Source organism: Homo sapiens, chromosome 22 (genome assembly GCF_000001405.40).
Source record: "Homo sapiens chromosome 22, GRCh38.p14 Primary Assembly".
In the NCBI taxonomy this organism is placed as follows: domain Eukaryota; kingdom Metazoa; phylum Chordata; class Mammalia; order Primates; family Hominidae; genus Homo; species Homo sapiens.
This window is the reverse complement of record NC_000022.11, coordinates 40,607,565-40,628,122: the sequence shown is the minus strand read 5'-3', so window position 1 is coordinate 40,628,122 and position 20,558 is coordinate 40,607,565. Positions and strand designations below refer to the sequence as shown.

Below are 20,558 nucleotides of genomic sequence, written 5' to 3'. Positions count from 1 at the left end.
CTTTATAGTAGACATTGTGCTACCTTATTAATCCTCATATGAACTCTGAAATAAGTGGTAGTAGCAGCATTTTGCAGATGAGCAAAGAGAAGCTTCTAGAGGAACTTCTAGATAACAGGATTTTTGTTGTTGTTTTGCTTTTTTGTTTTTTTTAGACAGAGTCTTGCTTTGTCTTCCAGACATGAGTGTAGTGGCAGGGTCATAGCTCACTGTGTCCTCAAACTCCTGTAACCTCAAACTGCTGAAGCAGTTCTCCTGCATAACTAGGACTATAGGCGTGTGCCATCATGCCCGGCTAAATTTTTTTGTGCAGGCGGGGTGTCACAGTGTTCCCCAGGCTGATCTTGAACTCTTGCCCTCACGCTTTGACCTCCTAAACTGTTGAGATGACAGGCATGAGCCGCTGTGCCTGGCCAGGATTTGAATCCAGATCTGTTTTTGAATTAAATAATTCTGGCTTCCTACCATGATGTATATGAAGTTCCTAACTTTGCCTCTAGTAAATGTCTTTTCGTGTTCAGTGTCTTTTGCATAGTTAGCGAAAATGTCAGTTATAGTGAGAACTCTTTGTAGTAGTAATCAAGATGTTATAGCTCAGAAAATATTCTGTGCGGTATTCATTATATGTATCTGGTTGCCATTCCTGAGGTGGAAAACTATAATAGTAACCTCACATCTTAAGTTGCTCAATTAATACTTGCCAAATAAGGGCCAGGCATTATGGCTTACACCTGTAATCCCAGCACTTTGGGAGGACAAGGTGGGAGGATCACTTGAGCCCAGGAGTTCAAGACCAGCCTGGGCAACATGACAAGACCGTGTGTCTACAAGAAGTAAAAAAAGTAGCTCAGCATGGTGACATGCACTTGTAGTGCATGAGCCCGGGAGATCGAGGCTGCAGTGAGCTGTGTTTGTGCCACTGCACTCCAGCCTGGGCAACAGAGTGAGACTGTCTCAGAAACAAAAAAATTACCAAATAAAGGCATACTGTAATATCCACATTTTTAGAATTTTTTTTTTTGTCAGTGTTTCAGTATCTTTTAAATTGTAAATGGGGTAAGTGATCCAGGGTCTCTTGATTGTGGTTAATTTGTACATATTTTCTCTACCACAAAATTTACAGGAACTTGGAAAGTTGTCCTTTCCTAATATTTTAGAATGCACTGTGTTGAATTTTGGTGTTAGAGTGGTGTTATCATGGTTGAAACTTTGGCTTTAGTTAGTGTGTGTGTGTGTGTGTGTGTGTGTGTGTGTGTTTGAGACAGGGTCTCATTCTGATACACAGGCTGGATCGCAGTGGCACGATCGTAGCTCACTGTAACCTTGAACCCCTGGCCTCAAGCAGTTCTCCCGCCTTGAACTCTCAAAGTGTTGGGACTACAGGCATGAGCCACTATGCCTGGCCCTGGCTTTGTGTTTCGTATTTAGTTATATGATGGATATATTTAAAGTAGTCTTTTTGAGTTTGCCATATATATGTGTATATATTGTCTTTCCTTTAAAATGTAGAGCAAGAGAAATTTAGAAATTAAAAGTAAGGGTTGGCTGGGCGTGGTGGCTCACGCCTGTAATTCCAGTACTTTGGGAGGATTGCTTGAGCTTAGAGGTTCAAGACCAGCCTAGATAACATGGCAAAACCCCGTCTCTACAAAAAATACAAAAAATAACCGGGCGCGGCGCTGTGCACCGATAATCCCAGCTACTCTGGAAACTTGAGGCGTGGGAGAGAATTGCTTGAGCTTGGGAGGTGAAGGTTGCAGTGAGCTGTAGTTGCGCCACTGCACTCCAGCCTGGGTGACAGAGCCAGACCTCATCTCAAAAAAAACGAGTAAATCTTAGGACAGGCATGGTAGCCCATGCCTGTAATCCCAGCACTTTGGGAGGCCAAGGTGGGTGGATCACCTGAGGTCAGCAGTTCGAGACCAGTCTGCCAAGATGGCGAAACCCCATCTCTACTAAAAATACAAAAAAATCAGCCGGGTGTGGTGGTGGGGGTCTGTAATTCCAGCTACTTGGGAGGCTGAGGCAAGAGAATTGCTTGAACCGGGGAGGTGGAGGTTGCAGTGAGTTGAGATCATGCCACTGCACTCCACCCTGGGGGACAGAGTGAGACACTTTCAAAAAAAAAAGTAAGGGTTATTTTCTTTTTTGTCCATTGTTTATGTGATCATCTTTATGAGAAGAAATCACTTGAACTAAAGCTTCTATGCAAGAGCCTTTCACTCTTTAAATTTGCACTCCAGGTTCATGCTCTAAGGTTGTGGCATTGAAGGGAAAGAGGTTGTGGGTTTTTATTCTATTTTATTTACTTATTCTGTGTTATTTATTTATTTTCATTTATGAGACGGAGTCTTCTTGCTCTGTTGCCCAGGCTGGAGTGTAGTGGCACAATCTTGGCTCACTGCAATCTCTGCCTCCGGGGTTCAAGCGATTCTTGTGCCTCAGACTCCCAAGTAGCTGGGAATTACAAGCGCCTGCCACCATGCCCGACTAATTTTTGTGTTTTTAGTAGAGATAGGGTTTCACCATATTGGCCAGGCTGGTCTCAAACTCCTGACCTCAAGTGATCTGCCTGCCTCAGCCTCCCAAAGTTATGGATTACAGGCGTGAGCCACCCTGCCAGGCCTTATTTATTTATTTATTTATTTATTTATTTATTTATTTATTTATTTAGAGAGAGGGCCTTGCTATGTTGCCTGGGCTGGTTGTGAACTTCTGGCCTCAAGCAGTCTACCTGCCTTGGCTTCCCAAAGTGTTGGGATTACAGGTTTGAGCCAACACACCCCTCCTATTTTTATTTTTTTTTTAGGGACAGGTGTCTCACTCTGTTGCCTAGGCTGATCTTGATCTCCTGGGCTCAAGTGATCCTCCCATCTTGGCCTCTTAAAATGTTGGGATTACAGGCATGAGCCACTGAGCCTTTTATTCTATTTTATAGATTCATTGAACTATTTAACATTATCTTGTTGATACTTCCTTTCCGTTCAGATGTTTTTTTGGGGGGTTAGGAGTCCTGGAATGGGAACAGGGAACCAAGAACATAATGTATCATATGCTAGTCATTTGAGATAAATTTAAAGATTTCTTTTACCCAGTAGAAGTTCATAGGATGTTATGGTTCATTTGTGTGATATCTGTCATGAGTCTTTATATACCCTGAGTCAGTGGATTAATCATTTTCCTAGATCAGACACTCTGTAGCATGAATGACCCTTTTTAAAAAGTTAATGTTTTGACCTTTACCTGAAAGCTGATTCTTAAAGTGTATCTGGCAGGATCAATATATATGGAAACCAGGCATGACTTATACAATTTGGACAAGCTAATCATGACATTTTATTTTCAACATGTCTAATAGCCTGTTGGCTTCCCAAATAACGCTGAGTTAATTATAGTGTAACCTTTTATTCTATTTGGAGAGTGTCAAGGGATTTTTTGAATGCCTTCCAAAATTCACTTTCATGAGGTGAGCTTAGAAAGCTTAGAAAACGCTTTCTAGAGCAGGGATTCTCAAAACTTTACCTTCATGATCCACCCTGCCTCTTCTGGGTACTTATTTGGTTTCCCTACTGTTTAGAGATAGTAGTGATGGGGTTGAATGCACCTGTTTTTAATCCTGGCTCTATTGCTCACTAGCTCAGTGATCTTAGACAACAAGGGAATTAATCTTTTTTAATCTTTTTTTTTTTTTTTTTTTGAGTTGGAGTCTCGCTCTGTTGCCCAGGCTGGAGTGCAGTGGCGCGATCTCGGCTCCCTGCAACCTCTGCCTCCTGGGTTCAGGTGATTCTCCTGCCTCAGCCTCCTGAGAAGCCGGGATTACAGGCGTGCCCCACCATGCACGGCTAATTTTTAAAAATTTTTAGTAGAGACGGAGTTTCACTGTGTTGGCCAGGCTTATCTTGAATTCCTGACCTCAAGTAATCTACCCACCTCGGCCTCCCAAAGTGCTGGGATTACAGGTGTTAGCCACTGTGCCTGGACAATCTTTTTAAATTTTTAAATTGAAATAATTTTATTTTGACACAGGATCTTCCTCCATTTCTCAGGCTGGAGTTCAGTGGTTTGAACATGGCTCACTACAGCCTTTATGTCCTGGGCTCAGGTGATCTTCCTGCTTCAGCCTCCTGAGTAGCTGGTACCGGAGGCATGTGCCACCACACCTAGCTAATAATTTTAAGGTTTTTTGTAGAGATGGAGTCTCTTTGTGTTGCCCATTGTGGTTCAAGAGATCCTCTCGCCTCATCCTCTCAAAAGTGGTGGGATTACAGACGTGAACCACCATGCTTGGTGAATCTTTTTGAAGCTGTATGTACTTATAAGATAGTTGTGAGAGGTAAATTCAGTTACCTGAATGTAAAGCATTTAACCCAAAATAGGTATTTAATACATGTTAATTTTCATAGTACTCAAAAATTATCCTTTGTAGCACTAACCACAGTTACAATTAAATATGTAATTTTAAAATGTTTTTCTTATAAGCTTTGTGATGCCAGGGAGCATATCTGTCTTTTCTCTGCCCTATTCTCAGCATCCAGAATAGTGCCAGGCGTGAAGTATAGTAGATGCTCAATAAATATTTGTCAAATGAATGAACACCCCTTTCCTGATTCTGTCCTCCCTTGGCTTAAAGGACAGTATCGGGGTTGGGGGAGGGGGGAGGGATAGCATTGGGAGATATACCTAATGCTAGATGACGAGTTAGTGGGTGCAGTGCACCAGCATGGCACATGTATACATATGTAACTAACCTGCACAATGTGCACATGTACCCTAAAACTTAAGTATAATAATAATAAAAAAAAAAGACAGTATCCTGAACATTTTGGCCTGCTTTGAGAATCAATCACCGTGTTACATAACTTTGGTCTATTAAAGATTGGAGCTGGGTAAAGGGGAGGGCAATGAATAGAGGAATAACAATGAAAGAGAACAGAATGGTATTCAAAGTAAATTATAAGAACATAGTACTCTGGACTTTCTAACTCTCTCTAATCTGGTATCCAGTCCCCAATTCTACCAAAACAGTTTTCATTGTGATCACAGCTGGCTTACATGTTGCTGAACATGTTGAGTTTCCCTTAGTTTAGTAAAATGATAACTCTTCTAGTTACTCAGGAAAGAATCTTGGAGTCATCTTCTCTTTCTCACTTTATAGAATCCAGTTCATCAGCAAATACTGTTAGCTCTGTCTTCAAGATATATCCATAATCTGATCACTTCTTAATCATCTCCACCATAATCACCCTCTTCCAAGCCATCTCTATTAGTTTAGTTTCCTGTGACTGCTGTAAGAAATTACTACATACTTGGTGCCTTACAACAACAGATATTCATTCTCTTATAGTTCTGGAGGTCATACATTTGAATCAGTCTTACTGAGCCAAATTCAGGATGTCAGAAGGGCTGTATTCCTTCCAGAGGCTTTAGGGGAGAGTCTGGTCTTTACCTCTTCCACCTTCTGGTGGCTACTGGCTTTCCTTGGCTTGTGGCAGCGTCACTTCAATCTTCAAGGTCAGCATCTTTAAATCTCTCTGCACATCTCTTTCTCCTGCACTGTTTTTGTCATATCTCTGCCTCCCTCTTCTCTTGTAAGGACATATGATTGGACTTAGAGCCCACCTGGATAATTCTTTTTTTTTTTGAGATGGGAGTCTCGCTCTGTCACCCAGGCTGGAGTGTAGTGGCACCATCTCGGCTCACTGCAACCTCTGCCTCCCAGGTTTAAGTGATTCTCCTGCCTCAGCCTCCCGAGTAGCTGGGATTACAGGAGGCCACCATCATACCTGGCTAATTTTTATACTTTTTAGTAGAGGCGGGGTTTCACCATCTTGGCCGGGCTGGTCTTGAACTCCTGACCTCGTGATCTACCTGCCTCAGCCTCCCAAAGTGCTGGGATTACAGGCGTGAGCCACCGCGCCCGGCCCCAAAATTCTTAATTTAATCATGCCTGCAAAGACTCCTAGCCCTTTTTGCTGTAAAAGGTAACATTCACAGATTCCCGGTATTAGGCTATGGATATCTTTTGGGCCATTTTTCAGCCTATCATAGTCTCTTCTCTGCTCGTCTGTTCCACAGGCAAAATACACCCATCTCATTCCAACATCCCCAAAAGTCTCAACCCATTGCAACATCAACTCAAGCCCGAGATCTCTTCTGTCACCAACTCTGAAGTTTAAAGTCTCATTATCTAAATCATCTGTTATCTGTTCCCAAAATACACTGGTCAGACATGTATAGTGTAACAGTTATAGATAATTCCGGTTTCAGAAGGGAGAAAATGCAAGGAATAAATGGGTTACTGGTACTAAGTAATTTCAAAATCCAGCAGGGAAAATTTTTATTATGTTTCAAAGCCTGTGAGTAATTTTCTTTTACTCGAGACTCTGCCCTCTGAGTCTCTGGCTCTAGCTTCTGCTTTCATAGTTATCCTTCCTTTTTCTTGAAGAGAAGCATATATTTGCAACTGAGTAGAGTTTTTGCCCACGGTGTTTAAAAATTGTGTTAAAATTTACCATCGTAACCATTTTTAAGTGTACTGTCCAGTGGTGTTAAGTACATTCATATTGTGAAACCATCACCGCCGTTCATCTCCAGAACTCTTTTTATCTTGCAAAACTGAAGCTCTATACCCATTAAACAATGACTCCCTGTTCTCCTCTCCCCAGCCCCTGTGAACCACCATTCCCTTTTCTGTCTCTATGGTTTTGATTACTCTTAAGTACTTCATACAAGTGGAACCATACAATATTTGTCTTTTGTGACTAGCTTATGTCACTTAGTATAATGTCCTCAAGAGTCATCCATGTTGTAGCATGTATCAGAATTTTCTTTCTTTTTACGGCTGAAAGAGTAAAGAGTATTTTTATTAGCCTGATTGCTGCATGTAGAATTTTGGTAGTCCAACATCTTTCAGTCTTCTTCTTCTTTTTTTTTTTTTTTTAAAGACAGAGTCTCGCTCTGTCACCCAGGCTGGAGTGCAGTGACACAATCATGGCTCAATGCAGCCTCCATCTCCTGGGGCTCAAGCAATTCTCCTGCCTCAGCCTCCTGAGTAGCTGGGGCTACAGGCATGCACCACCAGACTTGGCTCATTTTTTGTATTTTTTGTAGGGATGGTCTCATTTTGTTGCCCAGGCTGGTCTTGAACTCCTGGGCTCAAGCTATCCTCCTGCTTTGGCCTCTCAAAGTGCTGGGATTACAGACGTGAGCTACCACATCCAGCCAACAGCCTTCCTTTATTTCATTCTTTATTTGTCCTTTCAGTCCAAGTTGACAGTGTTTCTGCTGATATAACATTGTTAGAAACCTTGTGGGTCTCCTATGTATATTTTGGGGGTTCTTGTCATTAGACAAGAGGGTTCTCTATAGAGCTTTTCTGGATAATCCCATCTCCATTCCTACCTTCTGCTTATGGTTGGCTGAAGGAATTCATGAGTCACACTCCTGATCCCTTCAGCATGACTAAGAGGTTGTCCTGCAACATGCTTGACTTTCTCTCCACAGCATGCTTTTCTTAACAGTGAATTTCCTAATTTTAACATATTTTGTTGGCTGGGTGCAGTGGCTCATACCTGTAATCCCAGCACTTTGGGAAGCCAAGCCAGGTGGATCACCTGAGGTCAGGAGTTCAAAACCACCCTGGCCAATATGGTGAAACCCTGTCTCTACTAAAAATACAAAAAAAAAAAAAAAAAAAAAAGACTGCATGTTGTGGCTCACGCCTGTAATCCCAGCACTTTGGGAGGTTGAGACGGGTGTATCACCTGAGGTCGGGAGTTCGAGACCAGCCTGACCAACATAGAGAAACCCCATCTCTACTAAAAATACAAAATTAGCCAGGCGTGGTAATGCATGCCTGTAATCCCAGCTACTCGGGAGGCTGAGTAGGAGAATCACTTGAACCTAGGAGGTGGAGGTTGTGGTGAGCTGAGATCGCACCATTGCACTCCAGCATGGACAACAAGAGCAAAACTCTGTCTCAAAAAAAAAAAAAAAAAATTAGCTGGGTGTGGTGGTATGCGTCTGTAGTCCCAGCTACTCAGGAGGCTGAGGTGGGAGAATTGCTTGAACCTGGGAGACGGAGGCTGCATTGAGCCAAGATCACGCCACTGCACTCCAGCCTGGGAGACAGTGAGACTCTGTCTCCAAAAATAAATAAATCTTTTGTGATCCAGGTAAGCTGAGAATTTCCCAAATCATCAAGTACTGATTTCTTTTTTTTTTTTTTTTTTTTGAGACGGAGTTTCGCTCTGTTGCCCAGGCTGGAGTGCAGTGGTGTGATCTCGGCTCACTGCAAGCTCCACCTCCCAGGTTTGCACCATTCTTCTGCCTCAGCCTCCTGAATAGCTGGGACTACAGGCTCCTGCCACCACGCCCAGCTAATTTTTTTGTACTTTTAGTAGAGACGGGGTTTCACTGTGTTAGCCAGGATGGTCTCGATCTCCTGACCTCGTGATCCGCCCGTCTCGGCCTCCCAAAGTGCTGGGGTTACAGGTGTGAGCCACCGCACCCGGCCAATTTCTTTTTGTTTAACATTTCTCCTATTAATTTTTCCTCTTATGTTTTACTGCAAATAACAAGAAGAAACCAGGCTGTACCTTCAGTATGTTGCTTGGGAATCTAAATTTCCAAATTCCTTGCTTAAAAATTCTGCTTTCCATACAACTGTTGGACACAATTTAGCTAACCTTTCTGCTACTGTAAAACGAGGATCGTCTTTCTGTTAGTTTCCAATAACGTGTTCCTCATTTCCTTCTGAGTGCTTGTCAAGAGTACCTTTAACATTCATATTTTTACCAACATTCTGTTTATAAAAGTATATGTACTCTATACAACAACACAGATTTTCTCTACTTTAGTTTTCACTTCCTGTGAGCCACCACACTCAGCCCTTAAAGCCTTTCAGTGGATTGAATCAGGCCCATCCAGATTATCTAGGACAGCCTCCTTTATTTAAAGCCAAGTGATTATGAATGTTAGTTACATCTACAAAATACTTTCACAGCAACACTTCAGATTAATGTTTGGTTGAATAATTGGGGACTGTAGCTTAGTCAAGCTGACACATAAAACTGACCATCACACCATCATTATTATTTCTTGCCTGGATTATTGATATATATATATATATTTTTAATTATTATTATTTTTATTTTTATTTTTGAGAAGGAGTCTTGCTGTGTCACCCAGGCTGGAGTGCAGTGGCGCAGTCTTGGCTCACTGAAACCTCTGCCTCCTGAGTTCGAGATTCTCCCACCCCAGCCACCTAAATAGCTGGGATTACAGGCGTGAGCCACCACACCCAGCTAATTTTTGTATTTTTAGTAGAGACTGGTTTCGCTGTGTTAGCCAGGCTGGTCTTGAATTCCTGACCTCAAGTGATCTGCCTGCCTTGGCTTCCCAAAGTGCTGGAATTAAAGGCGTGAGCCACCATGCCCGGCCTGCAATATCTTCTTTTGAAGTGCATTCTCTGCTTCTGCCCTTGATTTCTTATTATCTGTTCTCCAGTTATTAATAGTAGCTAAAGTCTGTTTCAAGATCTGCCACTCCTCCCTTTGCTTACTCTGTGGCAACCCCATTGGTTTCCCTGCTTTTCCTGCATCTGCCAGGTCTTTGTGCTTGCTGTTCCCTCTACCCGAAATACTCTCTCCCTTCGCATGGTTTACTTCCTCACTTTTTTCAGATGTTTGCTCAGATGTCTCCTTATCAGAGAGGTTACCATATATAAAAAAGTGGCCAGGCCTGGTGGCTCATGCCTGTAATCCCAGCACTTTGGGAGGCCGAGGCGAGTGGGTCACGAGGTCAGGAGATTGAGACCACCCTGGCTAACACGGTGAAACCCCATCTCTACTAAAAAAAAAAAAAAAAAAAAATACAAAAAATTAGCCAGGCGTGGTGGCGGGCACCTGTAGTCCCAGCTACTCGGGAGGCTGAGGCAGGAGAATGGCGTGAACCCAGGAGGTGGAGCTTGCAGTGAGCCGAGATTGTGCCAGTGTGCTCCAGCCTGGGCAACAGAGCGAGACTCCGTCTCAAAAAAAAAAAACAAAAAACAACCTTACTCCTCAATCCCTGGCATTCCCTACTCCCCTTATCCTGCTTCACTTTTCTCCAGAAGACTTATTACCACTTGACATTCATCTGTTTGTTGTCCGTCTCTTCCCACTAGATGATCGTCTGTACAAGGGCAGGGACTTTGTCAATTTCTGTATCCTCAACACCAACAGTACTTGGCATGTAGTAGGTGTTAATAAGTACTTTTTGAATAAATGAATGAATGAATGAATTGAATTCTTATTTTACCTCTCAAGTGGCATTTGACATAGTTGATTTTTTGTAGGACATTATTCTCCTAATGGCTAGGCCATTCTTTCTTTCTTTTTTTTTCTTTTTTTTTTTTGAGACAGAGTCTTGCTCTGTCGCCCAGGCTGGAGTGCAGTGGTGAGATCTCGGCTCACTGCAAGCTCCGCCTCCCGGGTTCATGCCATTCTCCTGCCTCAGCCTCCCGAGTAGCTGGGACTACAGGCGCCCGCCACCACGCCTGGCTAATTTTTTGTATTTTTTAGTAGAAACGGGGTTTCACCGTGTTAGCCAGGATGGTCTCGATCTCCTGACCTTGTGATCCACCGGCCTCGGCCTCCCAAAGTGCTGGCATTACAGGCGTGAGCCACCGCGCCTGGCTAGGCCATTCTTTCTACCACACCTGCCATTTTTTGTCTCTTTTGCTAGCTCCTTTTCAATTTGGCCTCCGTTTGTGAGATTTTCTCAAGACTCAGCCTTAAATCCTTTTGTTTTCTCTCTCTGTAGGAGACCTCATCCAGTCCCATAGCTTTAAATAACATTTACATGACAATGATTCCCAAATGTGTATCTTCATCATTTTGCCTGTCTGCCTCCCTGCCCGCCCTCCCTCCCTCCCTCCCTCCCTCCCTCCCTCCCTCCTTCCCTCCTTCCCTCCTTCCCTCCTTCCTTCCTTCCTTCCTTCTCTCGTCTCTCTCTTTCTTTCGTCTTGCTTTTCTTTTCTGGGGTAGAGGCTCACTCTGTTATCCAAGCTGGAGTGCAGTGATGCCAGCTCAGGTCACTGCAACCTATGCCCCTGGAGCTCAAGCAATCCTCCCACCTTGGCCTCCCAAGTAGCTGGGGTTACAGGTGTGCACCACCATGCCCAGATAATTTTTGTATTTTTTTGTAGAATATTTTTTGTTTCACCATGTTGCCCAGGCTGGGCTCGAACTGCTGGGTTTAAGTGATCCGCCTGCTTCAGCCTTCCAAAAGTGCTGGGATTACAGACGTGAGCCACTGTGCTCAGCTACTCCATCTTTTTTGAATGTTAGTCACTTTCTATCTCCATTGGGATGGCTCACAGACATCTCAAATTTACATTCCAAAGTGAACTCTTAATCCTCATTTCCTACTGCTAAAGTTGCTCTGGCTCCAACGTTCCCCATTTCTGTAAATGGCACTTGTGTCTACCTTGTTAACATAAGTCAGAAACCTGAAGGGGAATCTTTGGCATCTCCCTTTTCCTCCTCACGTCCATTCCATTATCCATTTCTGTTGATAATCACTCCATAAATATTACCTCATTTGTCACCTTCTTATCTCTGCCACTAAAACTACTCTAGCTAGTCTAAGCCACCCTATTTCCAGTTAAACCAATTAAATAAATGCTTAATTGGTTTTCTTCCGTCCGTCATTCTCTCTAACTCCCTTCAGTCAATTCTCCACACTGAAGCCAGAGTTTTAAAATGCATATCTAATCATACCATGCTCTTTCCTCTTCCCTCAAGCCTTTTGCTCTCTGTAGGCTCCAAGCAGGTGCCTTAAATGAATGGTATTGGGTATATCATGGGTTTTAATAAAGAGTGGTAGGAACTGTGGCAAATTGAAGAGTACATGCTCTAAGGTATCCACTTGTTAGTTCTAGTATATTGTTGGCATGAAGGAGTGTAGACTTTGAATTGCTGATCTTCTGATTTCTTTTCAAAAAGAAGCCAGAAGTCTGGAATTTTTAAATTGTGAATTTTCTTTATTTTAAAATGTTGATGAACAATTTAAATTTTAAAAATGTGTATACTTAGGGATAAATCTGATAAAAATAATGAAATAATAAACTTAATGAAATAATTAAATGAAAATATTGGCCGGGTGCAGTGGCTCACGCCTGTAATCCCAGCACTTTGGGAGGCCGAGGCGGGCAGATCACTTGAGGTTAGGAGTTCAAGACCAGCCTGGCCCACGTGGCGAAACCCCATCTCTACTAAAAATACAACAATTAGCTGGGCATGGTGGTGGCCATCTGTAATTCCAGCTACTCGGGAGGCTGAGGCAGGAGAATCACTTGAACTGAGGAGACAGAGGTTGCAGTGAGCTGAGATTATGCCATTGTACTCCAGCCTGGGTGACAGAACCCTGTCTCAAAAGAGAAAAAAAAAAAAAAGAAAAGAAAATATAGGACCTTTTACACTGAAAATTATAAAACATTGCCAAGAGAAGTTAAAGAAGACCTAAATAAGTGGAGATATACCATCTGCATGATTTGAAAGACCCAATATTGTTAAGCTGTCCAGTCTTCCCCAAATAATCTAAAGATTGTGTCTTCCCCAAAATCTCAGCAGGACTTTTTGGGGAGAAATTGACTTTCTGAATCTAAAATTCACATGGAAATACAAGGGACCTATAATAGCCAAAACAATTTACAAGAGGAAGAACAAACAAAATTACTTGATTTCAAAACTTGTTATAAAGCAAGAGTAATCAAGACAATGCAGTATTTACCAGTCATTGGAACACCATAAAGAGTCCAGAAATAGATACATACATATATAGTCAATTGATTTTCAGCAATAGCGCAAACATAATTCAGAAGGGGAAAGTATAGTCTTTTTAACAGCTATTGCTGGAACAAGTGGATATTTGTATGTAAAGAAATGAACCTCAATCCCAGTCTCATATGATACATAAAAATTAATTTGAAATGGTTTGTAGACCTAAACATACAAACTAAAAGCATAAAACTTATAGGAGAAATCATGGGACTAAATCTTTGAGACCTTGACATAGGCAGATTTTTTTTTTTCTAGCACGTGTAAGGAGCACTCACCATAAAAGTAAAAATTGATAAATTGCACTTTATTAAAATTAAAGCCTTCTGTTCTTTAGAAGACACCATAAGAAACTAAAAAGGTAAGCCACAGACTTGGGAGGAAATATTTACACATGCTATATATATCCAGAATATGTTTTAAAAAACTTTAAAAATTTAATAATATGACAAATGGCCCAATTAAAAAATAAGTAGAAGACTTGAATGGACATTTCTTAGAAGAAAATATTTATGGGCCAGGCGCTGCAGCTCATGCCTGTAATCCCAGCACTTTGGGAGGCCGAGGCAGGCAGATCACCTGAGGTCGAGAGTTTGAGACCAGCCTGACCAACATGGAGAAACCTCGTCTCTACTAAAAATACAGAATCATTTGGGTGTGGTGGCTTATGCCAGTAATCCTAGCTACTTGGGAGGCTGAGGCAGGAGAATCCCTTGAACCCAGGATGCGTAGGTTGCAGTGAGCCGAGATCGCGCCATTGCACTCCAGTCTGGTAACGAGAGCGAAACTCCGTCTCAAAAGAAAAAGAAAAAATATTTATGAATGTCCAAAACATGTAAAAAGATACTCAACATAATTGCAAGGGAAATATAATATTTTTTTTTTTTTTTGGAGACAGGGTCTCACTTTGTCACCCAGGCTAGAGTGCTTTGGCGTGATCATAGTTAACTGCAACCTTGACCTCTGTGGCTCAAGTGATCCTCTCACCTTAGCCTCCCAAGTAGCTGGGACTACAGGTGGGTGCTACCATGCCTGGCTAACATAAAATTTTTTTATTTTTTTTTATTTTTTATTTATTTATTTATTTATTTATTTTTTTGAGACAGAGTTCTGCTCTTGTTGCCCAGGCTGGAGTACAATGGTGTGATCCCGGCTTACTGCAACCTCTGCCGCCTAGATTCTAGTGATTCTCCTGCCTCAGCCTCCCGAGTAGCTGGGATTACAGGCATGCGCCACCATGCCCGGCTAATTTTTTTGTATTTTTAGTAGAGACAGGGTTTCTCCATGTTGGTCAGGCTGGTCTCAAACTCCCAACCTCAGGTGATCCGCCCGCCTCGGCCTCCCAAAGTGCTGGGATTACAGGCATGAGCCACCACGCCCGGCTTATTTTTTTATTTTTTGAAACAGGGTCTCCATCACTCAGGCTGGAGTGCACACGATCCCGGCTCACTGCAACCTTTGCCTCGTGTGTTCAAGCAGTTCTCCCACTTCAGCCTCCAGAGTAGCTGGGACCATAGGTGTGCGCCACTACGCCTGGCTATTTTTTGGGTATTTTTTGGTAGAGATGGGGTTTCACCATGTCAGCCAGGCTGGAAAAATTTTTTTTTTTCTAGAGACAGGGTCTCTCTGTATTTCCCAGGGTGGTCTTGAATTCCTAGGCCCAAGCAATCCTTCTGTCTTAGTATCCCAAAGTGTTGGGATTACAGGCACGAGCCACCATACCTGGACAGAAATACAAATTAAAACCACAGTGAGACAGCATTTTATTCCCATTAGAATGGCTAAAGTTTAAAAAGATGGACAGTTCCAAGAATTGGTGAGAATGTAGAGCAGTAGTTCAGGCCTGTTGCTTGTAGGAGTGTGACATGGTACAGCCACTTTGGAAAGTTTGTCAGTTTCTTACAAGGTTAGATATATACTTATTCAATTTAGCAATACTACTCTTAGGTGTTTGTTACCCAAGAGAAATGAAAACATACAGTCAACAAAAAACCATGTGAATGTTCATAGCAGCTTTATTCACAATAGCTGGAAAAATTGGAAACAACCCAAATGCCATCAACAGGTGAATGGATAAACAAGTTGGATAAATAAACAATGGATTACTACTTAGAAAAAAGAAAGGAATGAATTATGGATACATGCAGCACTGTGAATGAATCTCAAAAACATGTTGAGTGAAAGAAAACAAAAGAGAACTTACTATATGATTTCATTTATAAGAAGTTCTACACTAGGCAAAACTAACCTGTAGTCATAGAAATTAGATCAGTGGTGATTAGATGCAGTAAGGGTGGAATATTGACTGCAAAGGATATGAAGAGTGATGGGAATGTCCTTGTTATTGTTGTTTTTGGGCCAGGGTCTTGCTCTGTCACCTAGGGTGGAGTGCAGTGGCATGATCATGGCTCACTGCAGGCTCGACCTCCTGTGCTCAAGTGATCCTCCCACCTTAGGCTCCTGAGTAGCTGGGCAGCCATGCACCACTATACCCAGCTAAGTTTTAAACATTGTTTTGTAGAGACAGAGCCTTACTATGTTGTCCGGGCTGGTATCAAACTCCTAGCCTCAAGTGATCCTCCTGCCTTGGGCTTCCAAAATGCTAGGATTACAGGTGTGAGTCACTGTGCCTGGCTTATGGAAATGTTTTTTTTTCTTGATTGAGATTGATGATTTATGAGAGTATACACTTATCAAAACTCACTGAAACTGTACACTCAAAATGTGTGCTTTTTATTGTATGCAAATTATACTTCAAAGTTGATTAAAAAGTACTCTCCAGGTCAATACTCTGTGGACTAAACAAAAAACGTTTGCGTGCCAAATTTGATTGAGGTAGCCAGTTCTTAACAGCTAATCTACACTGCCACACATGTGTGTACTGTAAGAGTGCCTGACTTGTAATAGGTCCTCACATTTCTGTTGAATGAATGAGTGGCTGAATAACGTACCTTCTTGCAGCCCCATTGCAGGAAGATAGTTCATCCTTCATTCTCTTGCCGTTTCCTAACTGCAGTCATTTTAGAGAGTTAATTTTTTTTGGTTTCTCCTGGAAGTGGTCTCTTGAGTATGCATGAGATCATTCATTCATTCAAATAGTTACTGAGTATCTACCATATGTATTTACATTGCCTAAATAAAGTACTTGCTCATTGTGAGGAATTACACAAATGTCAGTTGATTATATATGAAATTTACATTTGACTTATAAAAGCAAATGCTGGATAAGCTGTTCTTAGAATCTGTTTCAACTACCATTTCTTTGGTTTTTGCCTTTGTACTCTGCTATCTGTGGAAAAATAACATAGGCTTAATAACAGACTCTGTACATAACTTTTTAGATGAGAAGAAGCAAAAACATTTCCACATATTCTGGTATAGCTATAGAAATTGTTTTTGTTTTTTTTCTTCCTTTCCAGTTAGAGTCTGAGCAATGAGTGGACTGACTTAATTTAGTTGCTAGAACCAAATTGCTTCTTGGTCTTGTAGTTAGTCTATAGCTGTGTACCATCTTCATGAAATCTGATTATGACTAATGTAGACTTTTATAGGTCATCAAGCAGAATTAGTCTGTTTTTCTTCAAACAGAACTTTAAAAATTACTGGTTATCATTCTGTACTGATAATTGTCATTTCTCTAACCTTGGTCAAGCTGCCCTGAATTCATGGAACAGCTTTCCTGTCCCATGCTCCAAACTCCTTGCTCATTGTTAAAGTTAGCATGAGTCTAAACTCCTTTGGGAAACAGCTCTCTTTGGGCAGGGCGCAGTGGCTCATTCCTGTCATCTCAGCAGTTTGGGAGGCTGAGGTGGGAGGATTACTTGAGGCTGGGAATTCGAGACCAGCCTGGGCAACACAGTAAGACCATGTCTCTACAAAAAATTTAATTAAAAAAAAAAGCTGGATGTGGTGGTTTGAGTGCCTTTAGTTCTAGCTACTTGGAAGGCTGAAGCAGGAGGATCACTCGAATCCAGGAAGTCAAGGCTGCAGTGAGCAAAGATTGTGCCACTGCACTCCAGCCTGAGTGACAGAGCAAGACCTCTAAAAATAAAAAGTAAAAATAGGCTGGGCGCAGTGGCTCACGCCTGTAATCCCAGCACTTTGGGAGACCAAGGTGGGCAGATCACTTTAGGTCAGGAGTTCGAGACCAGCCTGGCCAACATGCTGAAACCCCTTCTCTACTAAAAATACAAAAAATCGGCCGGGCGTGGTGGCACACGCGTGTAATCCCAGCTACATGGGAGGCTGAGGCCGGAAAATCACTTGAGCCCGGGACATGGAGGTTGCAGTGAGCCGAGATGGCATCACTGCCTGCCAGCCTGGACAACAGAGCAAGTCTCTATCTCAAAAAAAAAAAAAAAAAAAAAAAGTAAAAGAAAACAACTCTCTTTGGTGAACACAAATGAATCATCCAATCTCAAATTTGTTTTCAGACTCACCTCTTCCTTTAATGCCCTTCTATTATTTCTCTTTTTTTTTACTTATTTTTCCCTCCAAGACTTTTTTTCCCCTATTTATGTCATAGTGTCACTGGGGTAGTAGTTGCGCCTAATTGATATATTTTCTTTCTTATGTATCTAATATATCTATGCCAAGCAAGTTTAATAAAACCAGGAAGATTGATGGTGGATTCCTAGTATGAAGCTGAATAATATGTGTTTAGAGTCCATAATGGATAAAAAGTACAATACTTGAGATACTGTGGACCTAGGTCTTTTCTCCCCCACTTTTTCTTGGCACATTCCCCTGAAAAGGAAGCCAAGGAGATTAAGAGCTGCTTCTGTCTGATAATAGCTCAGAAATTTAAGAGGAGGCAGTTCCTACAGCAGCAATCTGAGTCCAGTAAGAGAGCTTAATGAACTGCCTTTACCTGTACAGTAGTCAGTTTGTCTCTGCTGAGACATCAGAGGAACTGAGAGAAATTTAACAGGAATATAAGAATGAGGAAAAAAGAGGCTGGGTATGGTGGCTTATGCCTGTAATCTCAGCATTTTGGGAGGCCGAGGCTGGTGGATCATCTCAGGTCAGGAGTTTGAGACCAGCCTGCCCAACATGGTGAAACCTTATCTCTACTAAAAATATAAAATATTAGCTGGGCATGGTGGCAGGTACCTGTAGTCCCAGCTACCCGGGAGGCTGAGGCAGGAGAATCGTCTGAACCCAGGAGGTGGAGGTTGCGGTGAGCTGAGATCACGCCACTGCCCTCCAAGCCTGGGCAACAGGGTGAGACTCTGTCTCAAAAAAAAAAAAAAAAAAAAGAGAAAAAAAAGAAACAGACATTTGGAATTGCATGTATGTGTAATCTTGATAGTTTAATTTGGAAAGATCTATTTATCCTCTTTACTCTGATTAGAACTGTTTGTACTTACGCTCAAGCTAGAATTAATATATTAAAGAGGACATACGTTTATCTGCCTTTCAGAATATATTATTTCAAATACCTGTTATCTTTGATGGGTTTACTTTTTTTTGAGGTAGAGTCTTGCTCTGACTCTGAGGCTGGAGTGCAGTGGCGCAGTCTCGACTCACCACAACCTCCGCTGCCCGGGTTCAAGCAATTCTCCTGCCTCAGCCTCCCGAGTAGCTGGATTACAGGTGCCCTCCACCATGCCTGGCTAATTGTTTGTATTTCTAGTAGAGACAGGGTTTCACCATGTTGGCTAGGCTGATCTTGAACTCCTGACCTCAAGTGATCCACCCATCTAGGCCTCCCAGAGTGCTGGGATTACAGATGTGAACCACCGTGCCCAGCCTAAAATCTTGGTTAGTCATTTTTCACTATCAAAAATTTAAAGTGTTTTTTTTTTTTTTTTTTTTTTGTTAAAGAGACAGGGTCTCACTCTGTTGCCCAGGCTGGCAGTGATGCAGTCTTAGCTCACCATAGCCTCAAACTCCTGGGCTCGAGTGATCCTCCCGCCTGAGCTTCCTGAATAGCTGAGATTACAAATTCAAGCCACAATATCTGACTAAATGTACTTTCTGGCTAAATGTAATTTTTTTTTTTTTTTTTTGAGAAGGAGTCTTGCTCTGTCACCCAGGCTGGAGTGCAGTGGTGTGATCTCAGCACACTGCAACCTCCACCTCCCAGGTTCAAGTGATTCCCCTGCCTCAGCCTCCTGAGAAGCTGGGACTACAGGTGTGCACCACCACAACCAGCTAATTTTTTGTATTTTAGTAGAAATGGGGTTTCACCATGTTGGCCAGGATGGTCTCGATCTCCTGACCTCATGATCCGCCTGCCTCGGCCTCCCAAAGTGCTGGGTTTATAGGCATGAGCCACCATGCCCAACTAAATGTAATTTTATATTCCTACCAACAACGTAAAGGGTTCCAGTTTCTCCACATCTTTACCAAAACTTGTTTATTTGATAACAGTCATTCTAATGGGTGCGATGTGGTAATCTTACATTTTTAGTATTTTCATATATAAGGGATAACATAGTGCTGCCCCTGTGGTTATTATCACATTACTGTGTTCCCCCTGCCAACAAAAAAGTACCTCATATTGAAGTACTTTTATTTTTATTATGCAGAAGAGCAGGGACCTTGTCCATCTTCATCACTAGTATCCCTAGGGCTCAGACAGTACCTGACACATTATACTTGCTTAGCAAGTATTTGAATGAATGAATGAATGGAAAGTAGGGAGGCATGGTGTAGTGGTTAAGACCAAAGACTTTGGCATCAAACAGACCTGAGGTTGAGTCCTGGTTTCCTCATTTGTAAAATGGATTTGATAGTGCCTCCCTCATAGGATTGTGGTGGGATTAAATGAGGTCACATCTACAGCACCTGGTGCACTGTAATTATCCCATAAGTGGCAGCTATTATTTAAAAAGGTCACCTGGCCAAAGGGGCATCAGTAGACTTGAAGTTTAAAATTTTTCATCTGTCACTAATCAGCTACGTAATACTGAACAAATTGTCTAACCTCTCTGGGTCTGAGTTGTTTCCTCTGTAAAATTAGGACCTTAAGTTAGATGACAGGCCGGGCATGGTGGCTCATGCCTGTAATCCCAGAACTGTTGGGAGGGCTAGGCAGGTGGATCACCTGAGGTCGGGAGTTTGAGACCAGCCTGGCCAACATGGTGAAACACCGTCCCGTCCCTACTAAAAATAAAAAAGTAGCCGGGTGTGTAGTCCCAACTACTCGGGAGTCTGAGGCAGGAGAGTCGCTTGAACCCAGGAGGCGGAGGTTGCAGTGAGCAGAGATTGTGCCACTGCACTCCAGCCTGGGCGACAGAGTGAGATTCCGTCTCAAAGAAAAAAACAAAAAGATGACCCCTGATGGCCTGTCTATGATTTTCATTTGATCCTTACAGTTGTTACTGTATTAACTGAAGGAATTATTACCATGACAATCTCAACTTTAATTATATTGGAGATTGTTAATCCCAAAGTCTAAATCTCAGAAGCATCTAAACAATAGAATTGATGTTAAAGAATTTTTCTGAAGCAAAAATCATTCCATTTCAAAAGTTAAACAATTGGAACAGTTGAAGAATAGTTTGCCCTAGTGTGGAGTGTTTAATAATGATGTAATGTGCCAGGCTATGTATGATTGCTTAGTGATCATAGAAATGGATGAATGCAGATTGTAATGCAGATTGCACTGATGGCTAGGTGGTTTTGCTGAGTTGTGTTGTGCTCAGCTGTTGGGAAGGCTTGCTTTAAGGATACCTTTCTGTCCATGCTATGGTGCTGATTCGTGGAGGAAATAAAATAATCCTTAAGAGA

General features: G+C 42.2%; 1 protein-coding gene across 3 annotated transcripts in view, besides 1 other annotated feature; it reads left to right on the top strand.

Annotated features, from left to right (window-relative positions):
- MRTFA (myocardin related transcription factor A) overlaps positions 1–20,558 on the top strand; it is a 226,431-nt gene that overhangs the window by 8,597 nt on the left and 197,276 nt on the right. The window lies entirely within an intron of this gene.
- Positions 6,004–6,298: a silencer, noted in NCBI's record as "tiled region #12345; HepG2 Repressive non-DNase unmatched - State 6:EnhF". NCBI's record gives its function as "represses a minimal TATA promoter and a strong SV40 promoter by Sharpr-MPRA in HepG2 cells {active_cell/tissue: HepG2}" and the evidence as "EXISTENCE:reporter gene assay evidence [ECO:0000049][PMID:27701403]".